The sequence below is a fragment of the Homo sapiens genome, chromosome 3, assembly GCF_000001405.40.
Source record: "Homo sapiens chromosome 3, GRCh38.p14 Primary Assembly".
Classification (NCBI taxonomy): Eukaryota; Metazoa; Chordata; class Mammalia; order Primates; family Hominidae; genus Homo; species Homo sapiens.
In genome coordinates this window covers 27,522,924-27,544,518 of record NC_000003.12, presented here as the reverse complement: position 1 = coordinate 27,544,518, position 21,595 = coordinate 27,522,924, and the positions used below count along the sequence as shown (strand labels likewise).

Genomic DNA, 21,595 nt, shown 5'->3' with positions numbered 1-21,595 from the left:
ATCAACAACTTATTAGAGAAACTTTTTTTTTTTTTCAGATGGAGTCTCACGCTGTCTCGCAGGCTGGGGGTACAGTGGCATGTTCTCGGCTGACTGCAACCTCTGCCTCCCAGGTTCAAGGGATTCTCCTGCCTCAGCCTCCTGAGTAGCTGGGACTACAGGCATGTGCCACCACACCTGGCTAATTTTTGTATTTTTAGTAGAGACGGGGTTTCACCATGTTGGCCAGGCTGGTCTCAAACTCCTGACCTCAGGTGATCCACCTGCCTCAGCCTCCCAAAGTTCTGGGATCATAGGCATGATCCACTGTGCCCGGCCTAGAGAAACTTTTTAAGACTAACTTCATTTTTTCAGTGAACTTAAAGAAACAAATACTTAAAAAGTTAAGTGCACAAATGTTCATATTAAAAATCAATGTCAAGGCCGGTCAAGGTGGCTCACACCTGTAATCCCAACACTAAGAAAGACTGAGGCAGGAGGATCACTTGAGGCCAGGAGTACTAGACAAGCCTGGGCAACATAGTGGGATTCCCATATCTACAAAAAAATAAAAATAAAAACAACCTGTTGTGGTGGCATGCGCTTGTAGTCCCAGTTACTAGGGAGGCTGAGCGGAGAGGATCACTTGATTCCAGAGATAAAGGCTACAGTGAGCTACGATGGCACCACTGCACTCTAGCCTGGGTAACAGAGTGAGACCCTATCTCTAAAAAAAACTGTTTTAAATGATTAAGTATTTACCTCCATTTAAGGTTTTAGCCTGGGGGCAGTTGCAGATGTAAAAGTAAATGGTTTCCAGAAACAATTTGGCAAGACAAAAAGTAATTGACACTACACAAAAGATGCTGAAATAGTTCTGTGAGACTTCAGAAGATGTAAGAGAGTTCCCTTCCAACTAGAGGAACCAGGTGAGACTTTGTTTCAGGTTTTTGTAGAGGAAGTGGCATTGGTCCTGGGCTTTGAGGGCAGGATGGATGAGAATGCACCACCATGCAGAAGGATCCCCATAGGCAAAGTCTTCCTTTACCTTTAATATGAGCAACATTGAATCTCTTAAAAATTACATCCTTTTAAGAAGGCTTCAAGCAATATTTATACAATGGCCACACATCTGAGAATTGCCAAGGTAGTGTCACAAGATGCTGATAAGACTTCTACATATATTTTAAGAGCACGACTAAAGATATGTTGAGAAAACATGGTGTGGACCATTATCTATGTATGTGATAATTACATATAGCCATATTTAGTGTGTTAATATATGTATTTTAAGATGATTCCAGGCCAGGCGCGGTGGCTCACACCTGTAATCCCACCATTTGGGAGGCCAAGGTGGTCGGATCATGAGGTCAGGAGACAGAGACCATCCTGGCCAACTTGGTGAAACTCTGTCTCTACTAAAAACACAAAAATTATCTGGGTGTGGTGGTGCATGCCTGTAGTCCCAGCTACTTGAGAGGCTGAGGCAGGAGAATTGCTTGAACCCGGGAGGCAGAGGTTGCAGTGAGCCAAGATTGCACCACTGCACTCCAGCCTGGCAGCAGAGCGAGACTCTGTCTCAAACCAAAAAAAATAAAAAAGAAAAGAAAACGATTCCAAATAATTACTTATCTGGCTGAATGATCTGGCTGAATGTTGCAGACAGTCTTTTGAAGCACTTTGCCTACAGTTAACTACCACCAGCCCTTCAGTTGACAGATATGAATATCCTTAAAGAGCTAGAGGACTTCCCCCAGTTCAGAGCCCAAAGTGGTAGCAGCCACTTTGACTTAGGATAACCTAGGAGGAAGTTTCCATGGGTGTGCTACAGTGCATGAAGGAACAACTCCGGGAAAGGTCGGTGGGGATTTTTGTCCCCTGAACCTTAGTTCTGATTCATTTTCTAGGCTCACGTAGCTCTCAGTTATCTGGGCCAAGGGGTGTGGAAGGCAGTTGCAAGGTTAAATCCTGAGCCATCCTCTTGGCCTTTTCAATGTATCATGGGATTCTCTCCCAGCAAACTCGCCTCTCTCATTTTGTTCTCCTGAGTTCATTGCAACCGGAACATGAATGTGAGTGGCAGGAGAGGCCAACTGATGGAAACAGGAACCACACATCCATTAATCCTGATCTGCATTCCAAAATCCAGAAAGCACTACAAACTGAGTTTTTGTAGCTTATTTGGCAGCAAAATCTGACCTCACCTGAACTCATTTGAAAGCAAAACTTTACCTGGACCTACATGAGACTATTTGGCCAAGTAGCATAAATATTCACCTTTTACTGCAAAAATATTAATGTATTTTAGTACAGAGTGCTGTCCCAGAGTCTGCTGGGAGTGTAAATAATACACAGTACATACATTGTATTACTTTTCTAAAAATCCAAGATAATTCTGAATTCTGACATCTGGCCCCAGGGTTTTAGATAAAGCCTTGTTGTCCTATAAGAGCAGAGATAACTGTACAAAAGAAGGACATTGGTTCAGTTGATATTATTTCTGAACTGTTACTCTTTAGCATATGAAAATAATATTTTTCTAAATCAATAGGTTTCAATATATGATCTCAGGACACTGGAAATTTCTAAGCTATCTTATGTGGTCTGTACTTTTATTGCTATATGTAAAAAATTATGTATGCTTTATAGTGACAGCAAGAGATTATTGATAGCTCATAAAAACCAAGCCAATTTGTTCTTCCCACTAACTCACCTCTTTCTCTTTCTCCTCCCCTACTTTTTTCTTTCTCTCTCTTTGTGGTATGTGTTGGCAAGTAGGGAAAATAGGAACAGGGTCGGCTTCATGGATATGTGATCAGTGCAGCTACACAAGATCCTGCACTTTCTCTGGAGTCAGGGTTCTCCAGAGAAACAGAAACAGTAAGATGTAGGGGTGTGTGTGTATGTGTGTGTGTGTGTATGTGTGTGTGTATGTGTGTGTGTGTGTGTGCACGCACATGCACTCGCATATGTGTGTATAAAGAGATTTATTATAAGGAATTGGCTCCTGCTATTATGGAGGCTGTCAAGTCTCAAGATCTGCAAAGTGAGTTGGCAAGCTGTAGACTCACTCAGGAGAGCTGATGGTGTGGTTCTAGTATGATGGCCAGCAGGCTCAAGACCCAGGAAGAGAATGTTTCAGTTTAAATCTTTGTTTGTTTGTTTGTTTGTTTTTTGAGACAGAGTCTCACTCTGTCACCCAGGCTGGAGTACAGTGGTGTGGTCTCGGCTCACTGCAACCTCTGCCTCTCAGGTTCAAGCGATTCTCCTGCCTCAGCCTCCCGAGTAGCTGGGATTACAGGTGTGCCCCACCATGCCTGGCTAATTTTTTTACATTTTTAGTAGAGATGGGGTTTCACCATGTTGGTCAGGCTGATCTCGAACTCCTGACCTCGTGATCCGCCCACCTCGGCTTCCCAAAGCACTGGGATTATAGGCGTGAGCCACCACGCCCGGCCAGTTTAAATCTTAAGTCAGGGAAAACCTCTCTCTCATTTGGGAAGGGTCAGCCCTTTGTTCTGGCCTTCAGCTGACTGAATGAGGCCCCCCACATTAGGGAGGGCAAACTGCTTTGCTTAGTGTACAGATTGAAATGTTAATCTCTTTCAAAACACTCTCACAGAAACAGCCAGAATGATGTTTAACCAAATTTGTGGAGTCCCACAAATTATGTAGCTGGCACTGGATAGGGAGAATACTCAAGAAAATCTTTTTTTTTTTCTTTTTTTTTTTTAGACGGAGTTTCGCTCTTGTTGCCCAGGCTGGAGTGCAATAGCATGATCTTGGCTCAATGCAACCTCCGCCTCCCCGGTGCAAGCAATTCTCCTGCCTCAGCTTCCCAAGTAGCTGGGACTACAGGTGCTCGCCACCACGTCCAGCTAATTTTTGCATTTTTTAGTAGAGACGGGGTTCCACCATGTTGGTCAGGCTGGTCTCGAACTCCTAACCTCAGGTGGCCACCCGGCTCAGCCTCTCAAAGTGCTGGGATTACAGGCGTGAGACACGGCGCCTGGCCCTCAGTGAAATCTTTAGCTTCTTACACACAGACGCAGACACACACACACACTCTCACACACACACCACAGAGTTATTTTTCATCATCGTTGTTCCTACTTTTGGTACTGGTGGATGCAAATGATGAAATTCAAGAATCAGCCAATTCAACTGATATTTTAAACTTGAATCACAACTGACTTTTCCTTTTACCTCACTTCCCATTTCCAGACTGCATATAGTCTTATTAATGTTTGCTAATAGCTCTCTAATCCATCTTTTCTTCTTTTTTTAATTATTTTTTTTACAGTGGGGTGAGACAGGGACTCGCTATGTTGCCCAGGCTGGTCTCAAAGTCCTGAGCTCAAGCAACCCTCCAGCCTCTGCCTCCTAAAGTGCTGAGATTACAGGCCACAGTCACCCTTTCTTATTCATTTTCATTCCCACCAACCTAGTCCAGGAATAGTTTTCCTATTCTTCTCCTCATCCCTGTCTTCTTCCCCTCCATTACCCCTCATTCTCCCTTTTCCTCCTCCTCCTCATCTTCTTTCACTATTACCACTATCACTATCATTACAGGAAGAGTCATTATGCCTATATTATGTCAGACACTGTATTAGGTTTTTTGTTTGTTTGTTTGTTTTTGAGACCGAGGCTCGCTCTGTCGCCCAGGCTGGAGTGCAGTGGCACGATCTCGGCTCACTGCAACCTCCACCTCCCGGGTTCAAGCAATTCTCCTGCCTCAGCTTCCCAAGTAGCTGGGACTACAGGTGCTCGCCACCATGTCCAGCTAATTTTTGCATTTTTTAGTAGAGACGGGGTTTCACTATATGTAGGGCAGGCTGGTCTCGAACCCCTGACCTCAAGTGATCCACCCGCCTCAGCCTCCCAAAGTGCTGGGATTACAGGTGTGAGCCACTGAGCCTGGCCAATATTGAGTTTTATTAGGGGTAACTTCCATAAACAGACGGCCCAGTGGCAGTGGGCTGGAAAGGAGAACCAAGACTGCTTGCAGAAAGCATGCAGTTTAGGTAACATTTTCACTTAGCATCCTCCCCATAGCAATCTCCACGTGGCAACCTTCATTCAACCCAAAACAAAGGACGTCAGGACATCAATCCCCTGTATGGCCCGTGTTCATGAGACAGTCTGGGGGTTCAGAAGTTCCTCATAGATAAGGAATGAATCTCCGCGTTGGCCACTCCTGGATTCCTTAAGCTCAGAGCTCTGAACACACATTCTTCTTTTAAGTTATTGCTGTAAGTTGCTTCTACAATACACTCCACCCCAGTATACTCTTTTTTTTTTTTTTTTTTTTTTTTTTGTGGAGGACGGAGTTTTGCTCTTGTTGCCCAGGCTGGAGTGCAGTGGTGCGATCTCGGCTCACCGCAACCTCCGCCTCCCAGGTTCAAGTGATTCTCCTGCCTCAGCCTTCTGAGTAGCTGGGACTACAGGCATGCGCCACCATGCCCAGCTAATTTTGTATTTTTAGTAGAGATGGGGTTTCTCCATGTTGGTCAGGCTGGTCTCGAACTCTCGACCTCAGGTGATCCACCTGCCTCGGCCTCCCAAAATGCTGGGATTATAGGCATGAGCCACTGTGCCTGGCCCACCCCAGTATACTCTTGAGTGACCCTCACATTCTTATCACATTGTTCTTCCATGATTTCCCTAGAGCCAGGTATGCAGAGGGCCAGGTATGTGGAGGAACATTGCAGCAAGACCCCTAAGTAGCAATACAAGCAATATAGAAGTGGCTACAGGTACTCAGGTTAGCTGCTTGGATGCACCACGGCAGGCCCAGGATGGAGAAGGGGGCAGCTGTCTGCAGACCCAATTATCTGTTTTGTTCTAAAGACAGACCACCATCTGACACATGGCGGCAAAGAGATTTGCCACACACCATCTATGGGCAAAAGCGTGAGATGTTTAGTGGGTACAAAGAAAGGGTAAGTCACGGTTATTTAATAAGACATGGGAAGTTGTGTAGTTCTGAGACAGCAACACTCTTGGCAACGGACTGCTGCCTAGTTTACAATGTCAAATGGATTGGCTCCCCTCTGCAACGTGCCACAGGAAACCCAAGCAAGACACTGGGGGCACCATAATCTTCCACTGTGAAATGACGATCGTCCCCCCGTACAAGGGAGGATCAGAACTCACCATCCCAGAAGCCTGGGCAGGGGGAGCAGGTTGGAAAATACGGTTTTTGGCTGTACTCCCATTTGCTTAGCTAAAATTGAAGGGGTGCTATTACTAAGGAAAGGAAAGAATATGTAAAAGACTGTAACTAGCAGTACATAAAACAGAAATTAAATAGAGGTGGGATGGAGAGAAATACCTTTGGTTCATCTATGATCAATGACTGAAACAGAAGTGTTAGCAAAATTTTCCAAATTGTTAAATTTAAAAATAGTTTTCCTGTGACATTTGAGCTTGCTTTTTGTCCTAATTACCTTAGCGTTCATCTTCCTTTCCTTCAATTTCATTGTTTCTTCTGTCATTCATATAAGAACTAATATACCTAACAGGAATAAGATGTGAACAAACATTAGTTCATCCATTTAGCAAATTTTTCTTGCAGGCCAACTATATAAAAAGCATTGTCCTAGGTGCTTAGCTACATCAAAAAACAAAGCCCATATTCCTGCCTTGTGACTACACAAGTGGTGGGTAATATACAGTAAACAAGAAGTTCCCATGGAAGCAAAGCTAATTCTATCATATCAACAAGATTTCAATCTCCTAGAAGGACAGAAATAATAATAATTCTGGTCTTAAAAATAATTCCCTGGTGGGCCAGGCGCAGTGGCTCATGCCTGTAATCCCAGTACTTTGGGAGGCCAAGGCAGGCCGATCACCTGAGGCCAGGAATTCGAGACCAGCCTGGCCAACATGGTGAAATCCTGCTTCTACTAAAAATACAAAACCTAGCGGGCGTGGTGCCGGGCACCTGTAACCCAGCTACTCGGGAGGCTGAGGCAGGAGAATCGCTTGAACCTAGGAGCTGGAGGTTTCAGTGAGCCTAGATAGTGCCATTGCACTCCAGCCTGGGCGACAGAGCAAGACTCTGTCTCAAATAAATAAATAAAAAAAATAAAAAATAATAATAATTCTCTGGTCTTAAAGCCCTGTAGTAGCACTCAGGTAGCACATTCTATTTGCATGCTCTCCAGTCATTTGTTGAAAGATTCTTACCAATGTAAATAAATATCTTTCTACAGTCCCTTGGGTCTAATTTTCCTTAAGAAAAAAATGGTGTTGATCTTGATACTTTTTTTCATAATCAATTTGATCAGTATTTTAGAAACCCAACCTGAAGTAGCTTAGGCCAAAAACAAAACAAAACAAAACGAAAAGGCCGGCGCGGTGGCTCACGCCTAAAATCCCAGCACTTTGGGAGGCCGAGGAGGGCGGATCACCTGAGGTCAGGAGTTCATAGACCAGCCTGGCCAACATGGTGAAACCCCATCTCAACTGAAAATACAAAAAAATTAGCTGGGCGTGATGGCGGGTGCCTGTAATCCCGGCTATTTCGGGAGGCTGAGGCAGGAGAATCGCTTGAACCCAGGAGGCAGAGATTGCAGTGAGCGGAGATCACGCCATTGCACTCCAGCCTGGGCAACAAGAGTGAAATTCTGTCTCAAAAAAAAAAAAAAAAAAAGGAGAAGGTAGTGGTGATCATCTTTAAAAAGTATTCTGGCATATGTTATCCCTAAGTGGCAAGCTGAATGATCTTAGGGACAAATAGAACCAGAAACTGAAATGCAGCCAGCACTTTCTCTGTCTCATCTCTCCAAGTGTGAGCTCTTTTTTTTTCTTTCTGAAAATTGGCTTCCTCCATATGGCAAGGAACACCACATCTCCAAATTTCACACCCCATGCTCTCATACAAGAGAATATGGGATTCTCTGCCAAACTAGCCTGACTTGGGACAGGCACACTGATAATCTACAGCTAAAGAATCAGGATGACAGCAAAGACATGGCCCCTAGGTACCGACTTCTTGGATATCTTGAGCTGAATGAGCATGGAAGCAACTTGATGGGTTGTCATAAGATTTGAGAACATCTCATCAGTCACTTTTCTGAGAAAAGATACCCAAGGTTAAGTGAGATAAGAGCAGAATTCTTCTGAAAAAGTGTTAACAAGTCAGTCTGCCAGAGTCTGATCCCAGGTCTTCATGTTTTTCATAGAATTTTAATTTTAATTTTTTTTTTTTTTTTTTTTACAGGCAGGGTCTTGCCCTGTTGCCCAGGGTGGAGTGAAGTGGTGCAATTGTAGCTCAGGGCAAGCTTGAACTCCTGGGCTCAAGTGATCCTCCCACATCATCATCCTGAGTAGCTGGGACTACAGACGCACACCACCATATCTAGCTAATTTTTAACCTTTTTGTAGAGACAGGGTCTCACTATGTCGCCCAGGCTGCTCTCAAGCTCCTGGCCTCAAGTAATCCTCCTGTCTTGGTATTCCAAAGAGCTGGGATTAAAGGCAGGAGCCAAACAACTGGTCACTTTTTTGAGAGAATTTTTAAAGATGTGTCATGAATACCAGGCTAGTTAGGCATAAAGTCACAATTAGGTGTGTGTGTTGTTTTGCTTTGGAATGGGCCTGGGGCATCTTTCAAATGTATATGCCCACAAGTAAATGGGTAGTTCAGGAAGTTCTTTTGTAATATCCACAAATAATTATCCTTAAAAACAAGTAACTGAGACATTAATGAAAAAATATTCTGCAAACACTGAAGCCTTTTATTTTAAAATGTCAAGGTCTCAGGAATACAACTCCAAGTTTATAATCTTTATTTTCCACTTAGTGGTGATATGCATTATAATTTTTTCTCCCCTAAATGAGAATGCTTTGAATCAAATAATACTTCTTCCTTCCGCTGTGTCTGTGCCAACAGTGGCAGCTGAGTTCATTTTCATTACCTCAGCATTGTTACCAAGAGTTTAAATAGGTTGACTAACATTTGGAACACCAGGACAGAGGCTCTGTTTTTCTGGGCTTTGTAAAATACCTAATATAGTGACAATATGTGGGCATACAGATATATTGTAATTATATACTAGAAATGACACAGAGTACCTAGACTCCTCTGGGTAGAAAAAAGCCAAGCTTTGATTTCCACACTCAAACCAGCTGAAAAGTCAGAGCTTTTTTTCATTTGTAATTCCTCACTTTCTGAAAGCAAACTGAAATGCCTGTGGCCAAATGCCTTCTCTGAGTCAAATCCAGGTTGAGTCCTCCATGAGCTCAAAACCTGCTCTGTGTGTGTGTGTGTGTGTGTGTGTGTGTGTGTGTGTGTGTGGTCATCTTGATTTCTTTCAACCATCTTAAATGGCTTGATTTATTGCCCAATGTCACTGAAATAAAAACTAGCCGTTAGGGTAGCCCAAATTGTCAAATCACTGGTTTTCAAGCTGCTGTTTTTTGGTTCCTGGTCCTGGCATGACACCGTGACTTTATAGAACATTCTCCATTGTAGAATTCTGGGTGGTCTTGAGGTCCTTTCCCAGTACTAAACGGTACCAGGCATAGCACCAATGGGAGGAACATCAGGAAGATGTCCTTTTTTTTTTTCTTTTTTTTTTTTCTGAGACAGAGTCTCACTCTGTCTCCCAGGCTGGAGTGCAATGGTGCTATCTCGGCTCACCGCAACCTCCACCTCCCAGGTTCAAGTGATTTTCCTGCCTCAGCCTCCTGAGTAGCTGGGATTACAGGCGTATGCCACTACACCTGGCTAATTTTTGTATTTTTAGTAGAGACGGGGTTTCACCATGTTGGTCAGGCTGGTCTCGAACTCCTGAACTTGTGATCTGCCTGCCTTGGCCTCCCAAAGTGCCGGGATTACAGGCGTGAGCCACCGCACCCGGCCGGAAGATGTCATTTCAAAGCCATGTTGTTCTTTCAGATTCTAGAGTTGATGGTTAACACTGGCAGTCCCTCCTGACTGCCCTCCCGACGCACACTCCCAGGCTAATGAGGAAAAGTCCTAGAGAGCAGCATCAGATGCTTGTTCATGTATAGAGTTTGGTCAACATCACCAGCCCCGGCCCTCCTCTAGCTGACAAACAGGCAGTTGTCTATTTTGGCTTTGACTAGACTCTACTTCCGTTTACCTCAGTCATATCCTTTTTAGATTTGTTTCTCTCCCTTCCCCCACCTTCCTCTTTCCCACTGTTATTTATAAACGTTATACACTTGTTTACAGAGAAAAGAACAAACTTTAAAATTAATTGTTGATACAATTGCCAAATGAATAATGTCCAGGTGTCCGCTTTTAAGCATCACAGGCATCTCTAGTCATCGCTTTTTAGTTGTTACCCTAGGATTGAGAAGACCAACAGCAGGAAAGGTGGTGACTCACACTCAGAACCCAAAAAACAAACACCCACTAATGACTCACACCCTGGAACCAGGGAGATTTTGAGACTTTCTTTTGCTGAAAAAATGCATATGCAAACAACATTCCCATCACCAGGAGGCCAAGCTGGCTCTTCCTGCACGGAATGGGGCTCTGCTGAGGTGGCTGCGAGTCAGGGATGTGTCACCGACCCAGGGATGGAGTTTACTGGGTTAGTAGATGGAGGGCAGCTAAAACTAGAATTTCTTCTTTGCTTTTTTCCAAATGCCTGCTGGAGAAAATCCGATGTATCCTGTGTGAGTCAGTTGTGAGTGTATCTGCTGGGATAAGGGCAAGTTAAGTCACCACTCTCCATCCCCTCTGCTTGTTTTAATTGTGATTTTAATTAGCACGCAGGTCATCTGAGCAGAGGTGTGGCCTTTCATCTGAATGTGGATTTTCTGTCTGTGTGGTCCTTGATTGGCTACTTGGATCTTATAATGATAAAAGAATTTTTAAAGTACCTTTTCTTTCCAAAGTTTAGGGCTTTACTGAACTTTAAATATAAACTTAGGGCCCTCTGTTTATATTTAGATAAAAAAAGAATTGTGAAGATAAAGGATCTTTTGTGGCAAAGTGCTTTGAAACCCTGAGATGAAAGGGAACCCGTAAAGAGAAATTAACCTCATTTATTTTTTAAGCAGCATTTTGCTGCGTGTGTGGACAAATGTAATTTGAGGCAGCTTGAATTAAGAGCCTTGTCTTCACTCCACTCATAACCCTCCCTGTCTCCAACTGAGTCGAAGCACCTCTTTTTTCTTTCACTTCTCTATTCCTCAAGCCAGAGCTTGTCTGGTAGGGAAGGCAAATTCAGGCTTGTAATCCATCCTCTCCCCCCAGGTCTGACTACTCCCTGGCTGGACTTCCGCAGGGGCACCCAGTCCCCTTTGTGGAAGATCCAAAGCTCAACACAGAAAGGGAAAAGCAAGATGTGTGGAGTGGGAGACTTGCTTGGCTTTGCTTCCATTACTTTTGAGAACTCTCATTACATTCCTGAATCCACTGATGCATAGGTGGCAAAGCATTCAAAAGCGCTTTGGGGCAAGACTACTATTTAACTGAGACACACTGGTACCACCACGCCTATTACTAAAATATTAAAATATTTATATTTTGATTTGTAAATAGCCATTGCCCATGCCTTCACCATTGTCAAATATTTTTAATTGTACCAATTGTTTGTAAGCTAGGAGAGGGTTTACCTTCTTAGTTTCACACAGTGTTTAGCCTATCTTGTATATACTAATATGCATATTATGCATAGTATTTGAAATGCATATACTAATTGGTTAGGGGAAGAGAATGCAAAATTCCAGCTGCGTTTTTAGGCTGTCAGGGTAGTGAGAGACCAGTTTGGAGTCTCCCTACAAACTGTATTTGAGTGCTTCTAAGACAGAATTTAGAACTCGAGTTCTCCCATTCATTCTCTTTGGGATTCTGAACCAAGGGAGGGCACACAAAAGGATCGGTGACTGGATAGGAAACAATACCCTTCTACTTAGGAAGCACCAGCTGAAGGCCTAATAACCTCTGGGAGTCTGTGCTGGAGGCAAGGCCCAGGCCTGGGGCTAAAGTTCTCTACTTTCCAATCCGGAGATTCTCAGAGACCCTGTTCCGGGTGCAGAGATACTGAGACACAGGGGGCCAACGTTCCTGAGCCCACCACTTTAAGGCAAGTGGCCTGGCCAGAGAAAAATGGTCCAGTTCACCCAAGTGCTAGAAATACAGGAGAAAGAATGAAGCTTGGTCTCTGCTTTTGAGGTACACCCCCAAAATGTGGCCCCATTAATGTCTCAGATTTTGACCAACCACAACTTTTCTTCTGGTCGGTAAGAATGGAGGATGAGACCCTATTGAGAAAGCCCAAACATTGAAGCGGTGGCCTGCCCCTCCACACCTGTGGGTATATCTCGTCAGGTGGGAAGAGAGACTGAGTAAAGAAATAAGACACAGAGACAAAGTATAGAGAAACAACAGTGGGCCCAGGAGACCGGCACTCAGCATACCAAGGACCTACACAGGCACTGGTCTCTGAGTTCCCTCAGTTTTTATTGATTACTATTTTCACTATCTCAGCAAGAGGAATGTGGTAGGAGAGCAGAGTGATAATAAGGAGAGGATCAGCAAGAAAATATGTGAGCCAAGGAATCTGTGTCACAATTAAGTTTAAGGAGAGGTACTATGCCTAGATGTGCACGTAGGCCAGAGTTATGTTTCTATCCGCCCAAACATTTCAGTGGAGTAAAGAATAACAAAGCAGCATTGCTGCCAACATGTCTCGCCTTCTGCCATAGGGCGGTTTTTCTCCTATCTCGGAATTGAACAAATGTACAATCGGGTTTTATACCGAGACATTCAGTTCCCGGTGCAGGCAGGAGACAGTGGCCTTCCTCTATCTCAACTGCAAGAGGCTTTCCTCTTTTACTAATCCACCTCAGCACAGACCCTTCACAGGTGTCAGGCTGGGGGACGGTCAGGTCTTTCTCATCCCATGAGGCCATATTTCAGACTATCACATGGGGAGAAACCTTGGACAATACCCGGCTTTCCAGGGCAGAGTTCCCTGCGGCTTTCCGCAGTGCATTGTGCCTCTGGTTTATCGAGACTAGAGAATGGCGATGACTTTTACCAAGCATAGTGCTTGTAAACATTTTGTTAACAAGGCATATCCTGCACAGGCCTAGATCCCTTAAACCTTGATTCCATACAACACATGTTTTTGTGAGCTCAAGGTTGGGGCAAAGAGGTTAGGGCAAAGAGGTTGCGGCAAAGTTACAGATTAACAGCATCTCAGGACACAGCAATTGTTCAGGGTACAGGTCAAAATGGAATTTCTTATGTCTTCCCTTTCTACATAGACACAGTAACAGTCTGATCTCTCTTTCTTTTCCCTACAAACATCACCCAGAGTATGCATTCATTTAACTACCAAGTGACAGTGGGGTCGAGTTAAAAGTGCAGGTTGGCCTGGCAGAGGGAGGGATACCCAACTTCTCTCCCCATAACATGTACTTCTCTCTACCCCTCCTTGGGCTCTGATGAGATTTGGAAATGGCAGATAGCCCAGTCTCATAAACTCACACTTAGGGCTGTGGTTCTTTCCCTTGGCTACACATTGGAATCATTTGAGGTAGGTTGAAAGATAGATTCTGATTTAATTGTCTAGGATGCATCCTGAGCATCAGGATTTTTTTAAATCTTTCCGTATGAAGCTTACAAATAGTCAGATTTGAGAACCACTCCAGATGGCCTCTGAGAGGAAGAACCTCATCTTTTTTCTTTTCTTTTCTTCTTTCTTTTTTGAGACAGTGCCTCACTCTGTTGCCAAGATTGGAGTCCAATCGTGTGACCATGGCTCACTGCAATCTCCAGTTAATGGGCTCAAGCAATCCTCCTGCCTCAGCCTCTTGATTAGCTAAGATTACAGTTGCTTGCCACCATGCCCGGCTAATTATTTTATTTTTTGGATAGACAGGGTCTGGCTTGATGGCCAGACTGATCTTGAACTCCTGGCCTCCTTTGCCCCAACCTTGAGCTCACAAGTCCTCAAGAGATCCCACATCAGCCTCCCAAAAGTGCTGGGATTACAGGCAGGAGCCATCGTGTCTGGCCTGCATAATTTCAAGTGATGTAACAGCATCATGCTATCTTGGACAATATGCTCTTAAGTTCCACCTTCTGGGTCATTGACTTCGTCTTGTGCAAAAAAAAACCTATAGCAAACACCTAATTTTCCTACTCTTCTGTTAAAAACAACGGAAAAAATCATATATTAGCTATTTACTACAACTAGGTAATCTGATAGGTTATTCTGAGACACAGTGTGTCATTTAATCTTTTTTACAAGTTTTAATTTTATCAAAGTTTTATATGTACATCGTTTTTAAAGTTCAGTAATGTTACTGTGGAAATTAGCACTCCTCCGCTTTTACCTTTTTTTCCCTTAATTTCTACTTCCCAGAGGTACCCACATTTGTCCTTTCAGCTGTTCTTTTAACATTTTCCACTCTATGTTTAGTTAATAGGTTTACCCTGCTATTTCTTGATTTCTTACTTTCAGAGACAATCTGTGGCTTCCTAATGTGAAAGATAGAGTTAACTCTCTTACTCCACCTCTACAACATAGACAAATACATACTCTCTGATATCCTAATTAAGGCATAGATTTTGGTTAGATCAGTATTCAGTTAATTATGTAATATTATTCAAAGCTGGGCCATGTAGTTCTTTGTTATTTTGTTTTGTTTTTTTTTGATACAGAGTCTCACTTTTGTCACCCAGGCTGTAGTATAATGGTGCTATCTGAGCTCACTGCAACCTCCCTCTCCAAGGTTCAAGTGATTCTCCTGCCTCAGCCTCTCAAGTAGCTGGAATTACAGGTGCCTGCCATCACACTCAGCTACTTTTTTTTTTTTTTTTGTATTTTAGTAGAGAGGGGGGTTTCACCATGTTGCCCAGGCTGGTTTCGAAGTCCTGACCTCAGGTGTTCCTCCCTCCTTGGCCTCCCAAAATGCTGGGATTAGAGGCATGAGCCACCATGCCCGGCCAGTTTTTTGTTTCTTTTGTTTTTGAGACAGGGTCTCGATCTATCACCCAGGCTAGAGTGCAGTGGTGTGATCACGGTTCACTGCAGCCTCGACCTCCTGGGTTCAGGTGATCCTTCCACCTCAGCCTCCCAAGTAGCTGGGACTAAAGCCACTTGCCACCGCACCCTGCTAGTTTTTGTATTTTTCGTAGAGACAGGGTTTCGCCGTGTTGCCAAGGCTGGTCTCAAACTCCTGAGCTCAAGCAGTTCGCCCACCTTGGCCTCCCAAACTGCTGGGATTACAGGCATGAGCCACTGCACCTGGCCTTCATTTTTAATTTGCTCAATTTTCTATGTAGCTTATATTAAGTTATCTTCAAACACTCTTCCAGAAGAATACAACTCCTGTGAATATGTTTGCATGCATCAGATACTCTATCAAATTTTGTTTTTTAAAAAGAATGATTGCTACTGGTGCTTTCTTTATGTATGCTCCAATCTGGACTGGTTGTGCTCTAAACTTGAGAAAGCTGATGTCCTAGGATCTCCCTACACCATCATCTCAGGAAAAACCTAGACCTCTCTCTCAAGTTGGATCTCTGCTTTCCTCTTTCTTAGCTTACTTCCTCATTTTAGTGGAACATATCCTCCAGTAGCTACATGAGTTTCCTGGGCTACTGGAGGATATGTTCCACTAACCATATTCTCCAGGTTGTATGAGAGGAAAATCATTTGAGGCTTTGTTTATTGAAGCATATCATTATTTTAGCTCTATAGTTGGTAAACAGTTTGGTTGGGAATGCTGGATTGGGACTCATTTGCTTTCAGAATTTTGAAGACATTGATCCATTCATTATCCTCTGGATTCTAGGGGTTTGTTCAGCAACCCACTGCCATTATGATAACCAACCATTTGTATGTTACTTATTTTTACATTCAAAAAGATTTTAAGATATTCTCTTTTATCTCACTATTATAAATTTTCATGATAATATGCCTTTGCATAGTTAATTTTCATTTATTGTCCCAGCTCTTGGTGGAATCTCTCATTACAGAAACTAGCATCCCCTACTTATGGAAATACTCTTTTTTGAGTTGGAGCCTTGCTCTGTCACCCAGGCTGCAGTGCAGTAGCACGATCTCAGCTCACTGCAGCCTCTGCCTCCTGGGTTCAAGTGATTCTTCTGTCTCAGCCTCCCAAGTAGCTGGGATTACAGGTGTATGCCACCATGCCTGGCTAATTATTGTATTTTTAGTAGAGATGGGGTTTCACCATGTTGGCCAAGCTAGTCTTGAACTCCTGACCTCAGGTAGTCTGCCTGCCTCAGTCTCCCAAAGTGCTGGGATTACAGGCTTCAGCCACCACACCTGGCCTGAAAATATTCTTATATTATTTCTTTGATAATTTCCTCCTCTCTGTTTTTCATGTTCTCTCTTTCTGGAACTCCTATTAAATAGTTGTTGGATGTTCATGACTGGTCCTCTCTTCTTATTACATTTTATTTTCTATTTTCCACTTGTTTGTATTTTAGTTCCACTTTCTGGGAGTTTCTAAAAAATGTTATCTTTTAATTATTCTATTGGGTTTTTCATTTCTGCTGAAAAGCTCTTTTCATTCTGTTTGTTTTATCTCCTAAGTAGTATCCTATTCCTGTTTTGTGGCTATGACATATTTTCTTATTTCTCTAAAAATATTAATACTAATTTGAAATTTTCTCCTTCCTGCATAGCTGTTTCCTCCAAGTGTCTTTTTACCCCTCCCATGTTTTGTTGTTTAATTTTTTACATTAGAGATTTTCCTTAGATTTGGTAGCCATTGATTTTTCCATTATGGTTAAAAATGGTAGACCGTAAAAGTGGTTGGAAGCTCTGAATGTGTGGAGTGACCTGCCTGGGCTCTGGATTAGAGGTCATGACTGGGTGCAATTGCTCATGCCTGTAAGCCCAACACCTTGGGAGGCCAAGGGTGTGCAGATCGCTTGAGGCCAGGAGTTCGAGACCAGCAGGACCAGGCGAAACCCCATCTCTATTAAAAATACAAAAATTAGCCAGGTTTGGTGGCACGCACCTGCAATCCCAGCTACTCAGGAGACAGAGGCGAGAGAATCTGGGAGGCAGAGGTTGCAGTGAACTGAGATCACAGAGACGGGGCTTCCCCACGTTGGTCAGGCTGGTCTCAAACTCCTGACCTCAGGTGATCCACCCGTCTCAGCCTCCCAAAGTGCTGGGATTACAGGCTTGAACCACCGCACCTGGCTGGACTTAAAATTTGAAAAAATAAATTAAGAGTTGGTAATGATAATTCAGTTGCATTAGAACGAAAGAAGGCCTGTGGTGGTGAGATGAGTTACAAAAAAAAAAAGAAGAATTAAGAAAGTAATGAAAGAAGTAAAAGTTTCATCTTACTACGTCTTACTACGAAAACTGAGAACTATGTATCTGTAAAGAATTCCCCTGAATAAATTAGAATCTAGGCTAACCTCCTAAAAGAATATAGTACCAAACTCATCAAAACGTTGTGTCCTTTAACCCCAGAATTATAAAAGTTAGTCATTTCAATCCCAGAAACATATATCTATTTAAGCTAGCTCCCACAAGGCTACAATAAACCATCTCATAAACATTAAAGGACAGAAAAACTCCACATTTTATGTTTAAAAATTATTAAATCTGGAACAAGGCTAAATTAGAAAATTGGTTTGCTGAGAAATTAAGTAACAATAATTTTTAATTTAACTGGTATGAAATGCAAACCAAGTGTTAGGGCAATATGAGTCTGGTTTCCTGTCTAGAAAACCAACATGAAAATATTTTTCAAAATGTTTCTTTTCTGTGCGTGAGTATCTTTATAGAAACAGCTGTGTAAAATTTAGCATAGCTCTCTTGCTTAAACCTGTGGGGTTACTAATTTACATTACTAATGTTTGGTTTATTTATTTATTTATTTTTCTTTTTGAGATGGGGTTTCGCTCTGTCACCCAGGCTGGAGTGCAGTGGCAGGATCTCAGCTCACTGCAACCTCTGCCTCCCAGGTTCAAGTGATTATCCTGTCTCAGCCTTCTGAGTAGCTGGAATTACAGGTGCCCGCCACCATGCCCGGCTAATTTTTGTATTTTTAGTAGAGATGGGGTTTCACCATGTTGGCCAGGCTGGTCTCAAACTCAAGCTCAAGTGATCTGCCCGCCTCAGCCTCCCAAAGTGCCTGGGATTACAGGAGTGAGCCATCATGCCCGGCCCGGTTTTATTATTTATTTATTTATTTGGATTTGCAAATTACCTGATTTTCTCTAAAAGAAAATATGTGTATTTTCTGGCTCTGAAATATGACTTTTGTAACCATAGAGCAAATATTTCTTTACCTGCTAATTTTGTTTAATTTCACTAGCATGTATATTTTATTTTACAGTTTTGAAGGAGGCATGCACTTCATTCTGAACAAAGAAATACAAACCACAGCATGATAAATGGTACAATATTAACTGCCTTAAAATGATGAAATTATGTCAATGTTGGAAGTGGAGTAGGGTTATAATTGTTTTTAAATGCAAATACCGTTAGGTTTTCTTTTTCTTTCTTTCTTTCTTTTTTTTTTTTTTTTTTTTGAGACAAGGTCTTGCTCTGTCGCCCAGGCTGGAGTGCAGTGGTGCAATCTCTGCTTACTGCAACCTTCATCTCCCGGGTTCAAGCAATTCTCCTGCCTCAGCCTTCTGAGTAGCTGGGATTACAGGCACCCACCACCACACCCGGCTAATTTTTGTATTTATAGTAGATAACAGGGTCTCACCATGTTGACCAGGCTGGTCTCAAACTCCTGACTTCAGATGATCCTCCCACCTCGGCCTCCCAAAGTGCTGGGATTACAGGCGTGAGCCATTGCGCCCAGCCAGGTTTTCAAAGAATTCAGCCTGGCTGTATATGGGCCTTCCCCAGTTCACAGTCAACATGATGTTCTCTTTGGAAGTGCAAATGAATAACCCAGGGAGGTAGGTCTGAGAGCTTTCTGTGGGCAGTTCACTTTTACTTTCTTACAACTACTTCATTGGCAGCCAGACAGATGAGGAATGAGGGACATCTTTCCTTGCATGGCCTCAGGTTTTCATGCTGCACAGGCTGCATTGTGCCTCCGACACAATCATGTGTTCTTCGTTAGCTGAGATGCTCAAAACAAACTAGAGGTCAAACTTTAACTTGATTTGAAGACAAAGTGCAACTTATTCAGATGCTATATGGGGAAGATAACCAGATTTGCTTATTTGGGGTCTGCTGTTTGTCATATAGGTTCCTAGATCTTCACTCAGTTTAATTGTTAAGACACCATTCCCAAAGGAGACATCATAGTGCTCAAATTGGTAAGCCTCATCTGCAAGGTCTTCCAAAAAAATTCTGCTTAGGAGTCCAGCATTTCCTCTGCTGGTATTTGATAGGTCATCTCATTTAGAGAGCCTAGGTCACCCAAAGTTCCCGATTTCCTCAAATTTGTCAAATAGACACTGTGCTTTTTAACTTTCAGAATCTGATTGAGAGAGTGGAGGTACAAGCTGGCACGGCAGGATCCGCAAGCTGTGGCCAATCCGAAGCCCAGCATTGGAGGATGCATAGCAGGGCAAACCCTGTAGGCCACGGGGCCAGGACAAGGGCCTGGGACAAGCTTGGAGGCATCGACCAGGGTGTCCACCTAAATGGCATTTTTGATCATTCTGTTGACTCCATTAACAGAGTCACTGATAGAGTTATGAGGGGCTTAATGAATATAGTATATAGTGAATATAGTGTAATAAACGTGTAGATTGTGGCTGGGCATGGTGGCTCATGGCTGTAATCCCAGCACTTTTGAAGGCCAACACAGGAGGATTACTTGAGGCCAGGAGTTGGAGGCTAGAGTGAGCCATGATCCCACCACTGTACTCCAGCCTGGGTGACAGAGCTAAACTGTCTCTTAAAAAAAAAAATAAAAATGTAGATGCTAATTGCTATCCATTTTCAGCAATGAGAATCCCTTGAATGTTTACAAGGTACCAGGTCAAATTTTGAGACTTGCCATCTGGTAGTGTTCCTTGGATTGCTTGAACTCATACTGGTAAAGGCATATCAGTCATTATCAGTTGTTATTCCATCTTTGTTTGAGAACTAAGTTTGGATTAAGTAACCTTTTGAAAAACCTAGATTTGTTCTGCTTTTTTATTTTGTCCATGGAAAATCATTTCAGTTGTTTTTAGGCCTGGCTTTCTTCTGGGCTTGGCATTTCAGATTTGCTTCTAATCTGTGAATAACTAACCAAATTAATGGGCTGCTTTGAGCATCATTTTTAACTGGAGAGACGGAAATTCCATCATGCTTCAGATCATAAGTCTTGTTGCCAAAAAGTTTCCCCAAGTGACAGCAGTTACGTATTTGAGATTTATTGGCAAGTTTGGGTGTCCCAGAGTGATATGAGTAGGAAAATGAACACTTTAAGGCAAATCCTGAACTGATTCAGAGAGACTGCTCCAATCTTTTGAGGTTACTTGTCCTTATAGGAAGTGTGTGTGTGTGTGTGTGTGTGTGTGTGTGTGTGTGTGTGCTGTCTTCTGGAATTAGGGAAAATATAGCCATTGGTGTATTAGGTTCAATACTGAATAGAAGTTCCTCCCTCTGGTCACAAAAAGAAATGGCCAACATTGCAGTTTTCAGTTCAGTTAAACTCATAAACAAATTTCAAAATCTTTCATCTGAGATATTTTTATGAGTAGGCACAGGGTTTCTGAATGCATCATACAATTGGATCGAAGCCTAGAAAGTCACTCCGGTGTGTTTGAACAAACTAGCCCACGAGTACCATATTTTTTATATTGGAACATTCCTTTGCCTTTTTAAAGTGACCCAGCATCTATCTTATCCGTTTTTCACATTCTGGAGTAGTTGAAGTAGATTTGTCACAAAGTCTTTTCAAAAACTTTACTTTTGTCCTTTTGCAAGGCTAGAAAGCAATAAATCAAGAGGATAAATCTTGGATCTGCAACTCAAACTGGATAAAAAACTTTTGTAGCTTATAGAATTCTCTTTCTCTCACATACACAAACAGACACATATGCACAGTGGGTCAATTATGAGTGTTATTATTTATGGAGTTAACATTGTCAAATGGGCATATTGCATTATACTTATGATGCAGGTAATATATGCATACATACATATCTTGTCTGCTTTAGTTAATCATATAGTGAGATGAACTATGTTGCTATGAGAAGACAGAATTAGGTAAAATACAGTTAATCTGATGATTTCAAATGTTTTCAGAATGACTACAATTATTCAGTCATTAAACATTTGGATATTTCCTAGATGTCCCAGACTCTGTTCTAGGATCTGGGAATATAAAGTTTTTTTTTTGTTTTGTTTTTTTAAAGCTATGTCCCAGCTGGGCACAGTGGCTCATACCTGTAATCCCAGCACTTTGGGAGGTGAGTAGATCACCTGAGGTCAAGAGTTCGACCTGGCCATCATGGTGAAACCGTGTCTCTACTAAAAATGCAAAAATTAGCTGGGGGTGGTGGTGGGCACCTGTAATCCCAGCTACTTGGGAGGCTGAGGCAGGAGAATTGCTTGAACCCGGGAGACAGAGGTTGCAGTGAGCCAAGATTCCGCCACTGCACTCCAGCCCGGGTGACAGAAAGAGACTCCATTCAAAAAAAAAAAAAAAAAAAAGCTATAGG

The 21,595-nt window shown here is 42.7% G+C and overlaps 4 annotated features.

The window, feature by feature from the left end:
* Positions 10,029-10,972: an enhancer, noted in NCBI's record as "OCT4-NANOG-H3K27ac-H3K4me1 hESC enhancer chr3:27575038-27575981 (GRCh37/hg19 assembly coordinates)". NCBI's record gives its function as "activates a minimal SCP1, AML or CMV promoter by ChIP-STARR-seq in naive H9 embryonic stem cells {active_cell/tissue: H9 hESC(naive)}" and the evidence as "EXISTENCE:reporter gene assay evidence [ECO:0000049][PMID:30033119]".
* Positions 10,367-10,661: a silencer, noted in NCBI's record as "tiled region #8300; HepG2 Repressive non-DNase unmatched - State 5:Enh, and K562 Repressive non-DNase unmatched - State 24:Quies". NCBI's record gives its function as "represses a minimal TATA promoter and a strong SV40 promoter by Sharpr-MPRA in HepG2 and K562 cells {active_cell/tissue: HepG2 | K562}" and the evidence as "EXISTENCE:reporter gene assay evidence [ECO:0000049][PMID:27701403]".
* Positions 10,973-11,915: an enhancer, noted in NCBI's record as "NANOG-H3K27ac hESC enhancer chr3:27574095-27575037 (GRCh37/hg19 assembly coordinates)". NCBI's record gives its function as "activates a minimal SCP1, AML or CMV promoter by ChIP-STARR-seq in primed H9 embryonic stem cells {active_cell/tissue: H9 hESC(primed)}" and the evidence as "EXISTENCE:reporter gene assay evidence [ECO:0000049][PMID:30033119]".
* Positions 18,603-19,239: an enhancer, noted in NCBI's record as "OCT4-NANOG-H3K4me1 hESC enhancer chr3:27566771-27567407 (GRCh37/hg19 assembly coordinates)". NCBI's record gives its function as "activates a minimal SCP1, AML or CMV promoter by ChIP-STARR-seq in naive and primed H9 embryonic stem cells {active_cell/tissue: H9 hESC(naive and primed)}" and the evidence as "EXISTENCE:reporter gene assay evidence [ECO:0000049][PMID:30033119]".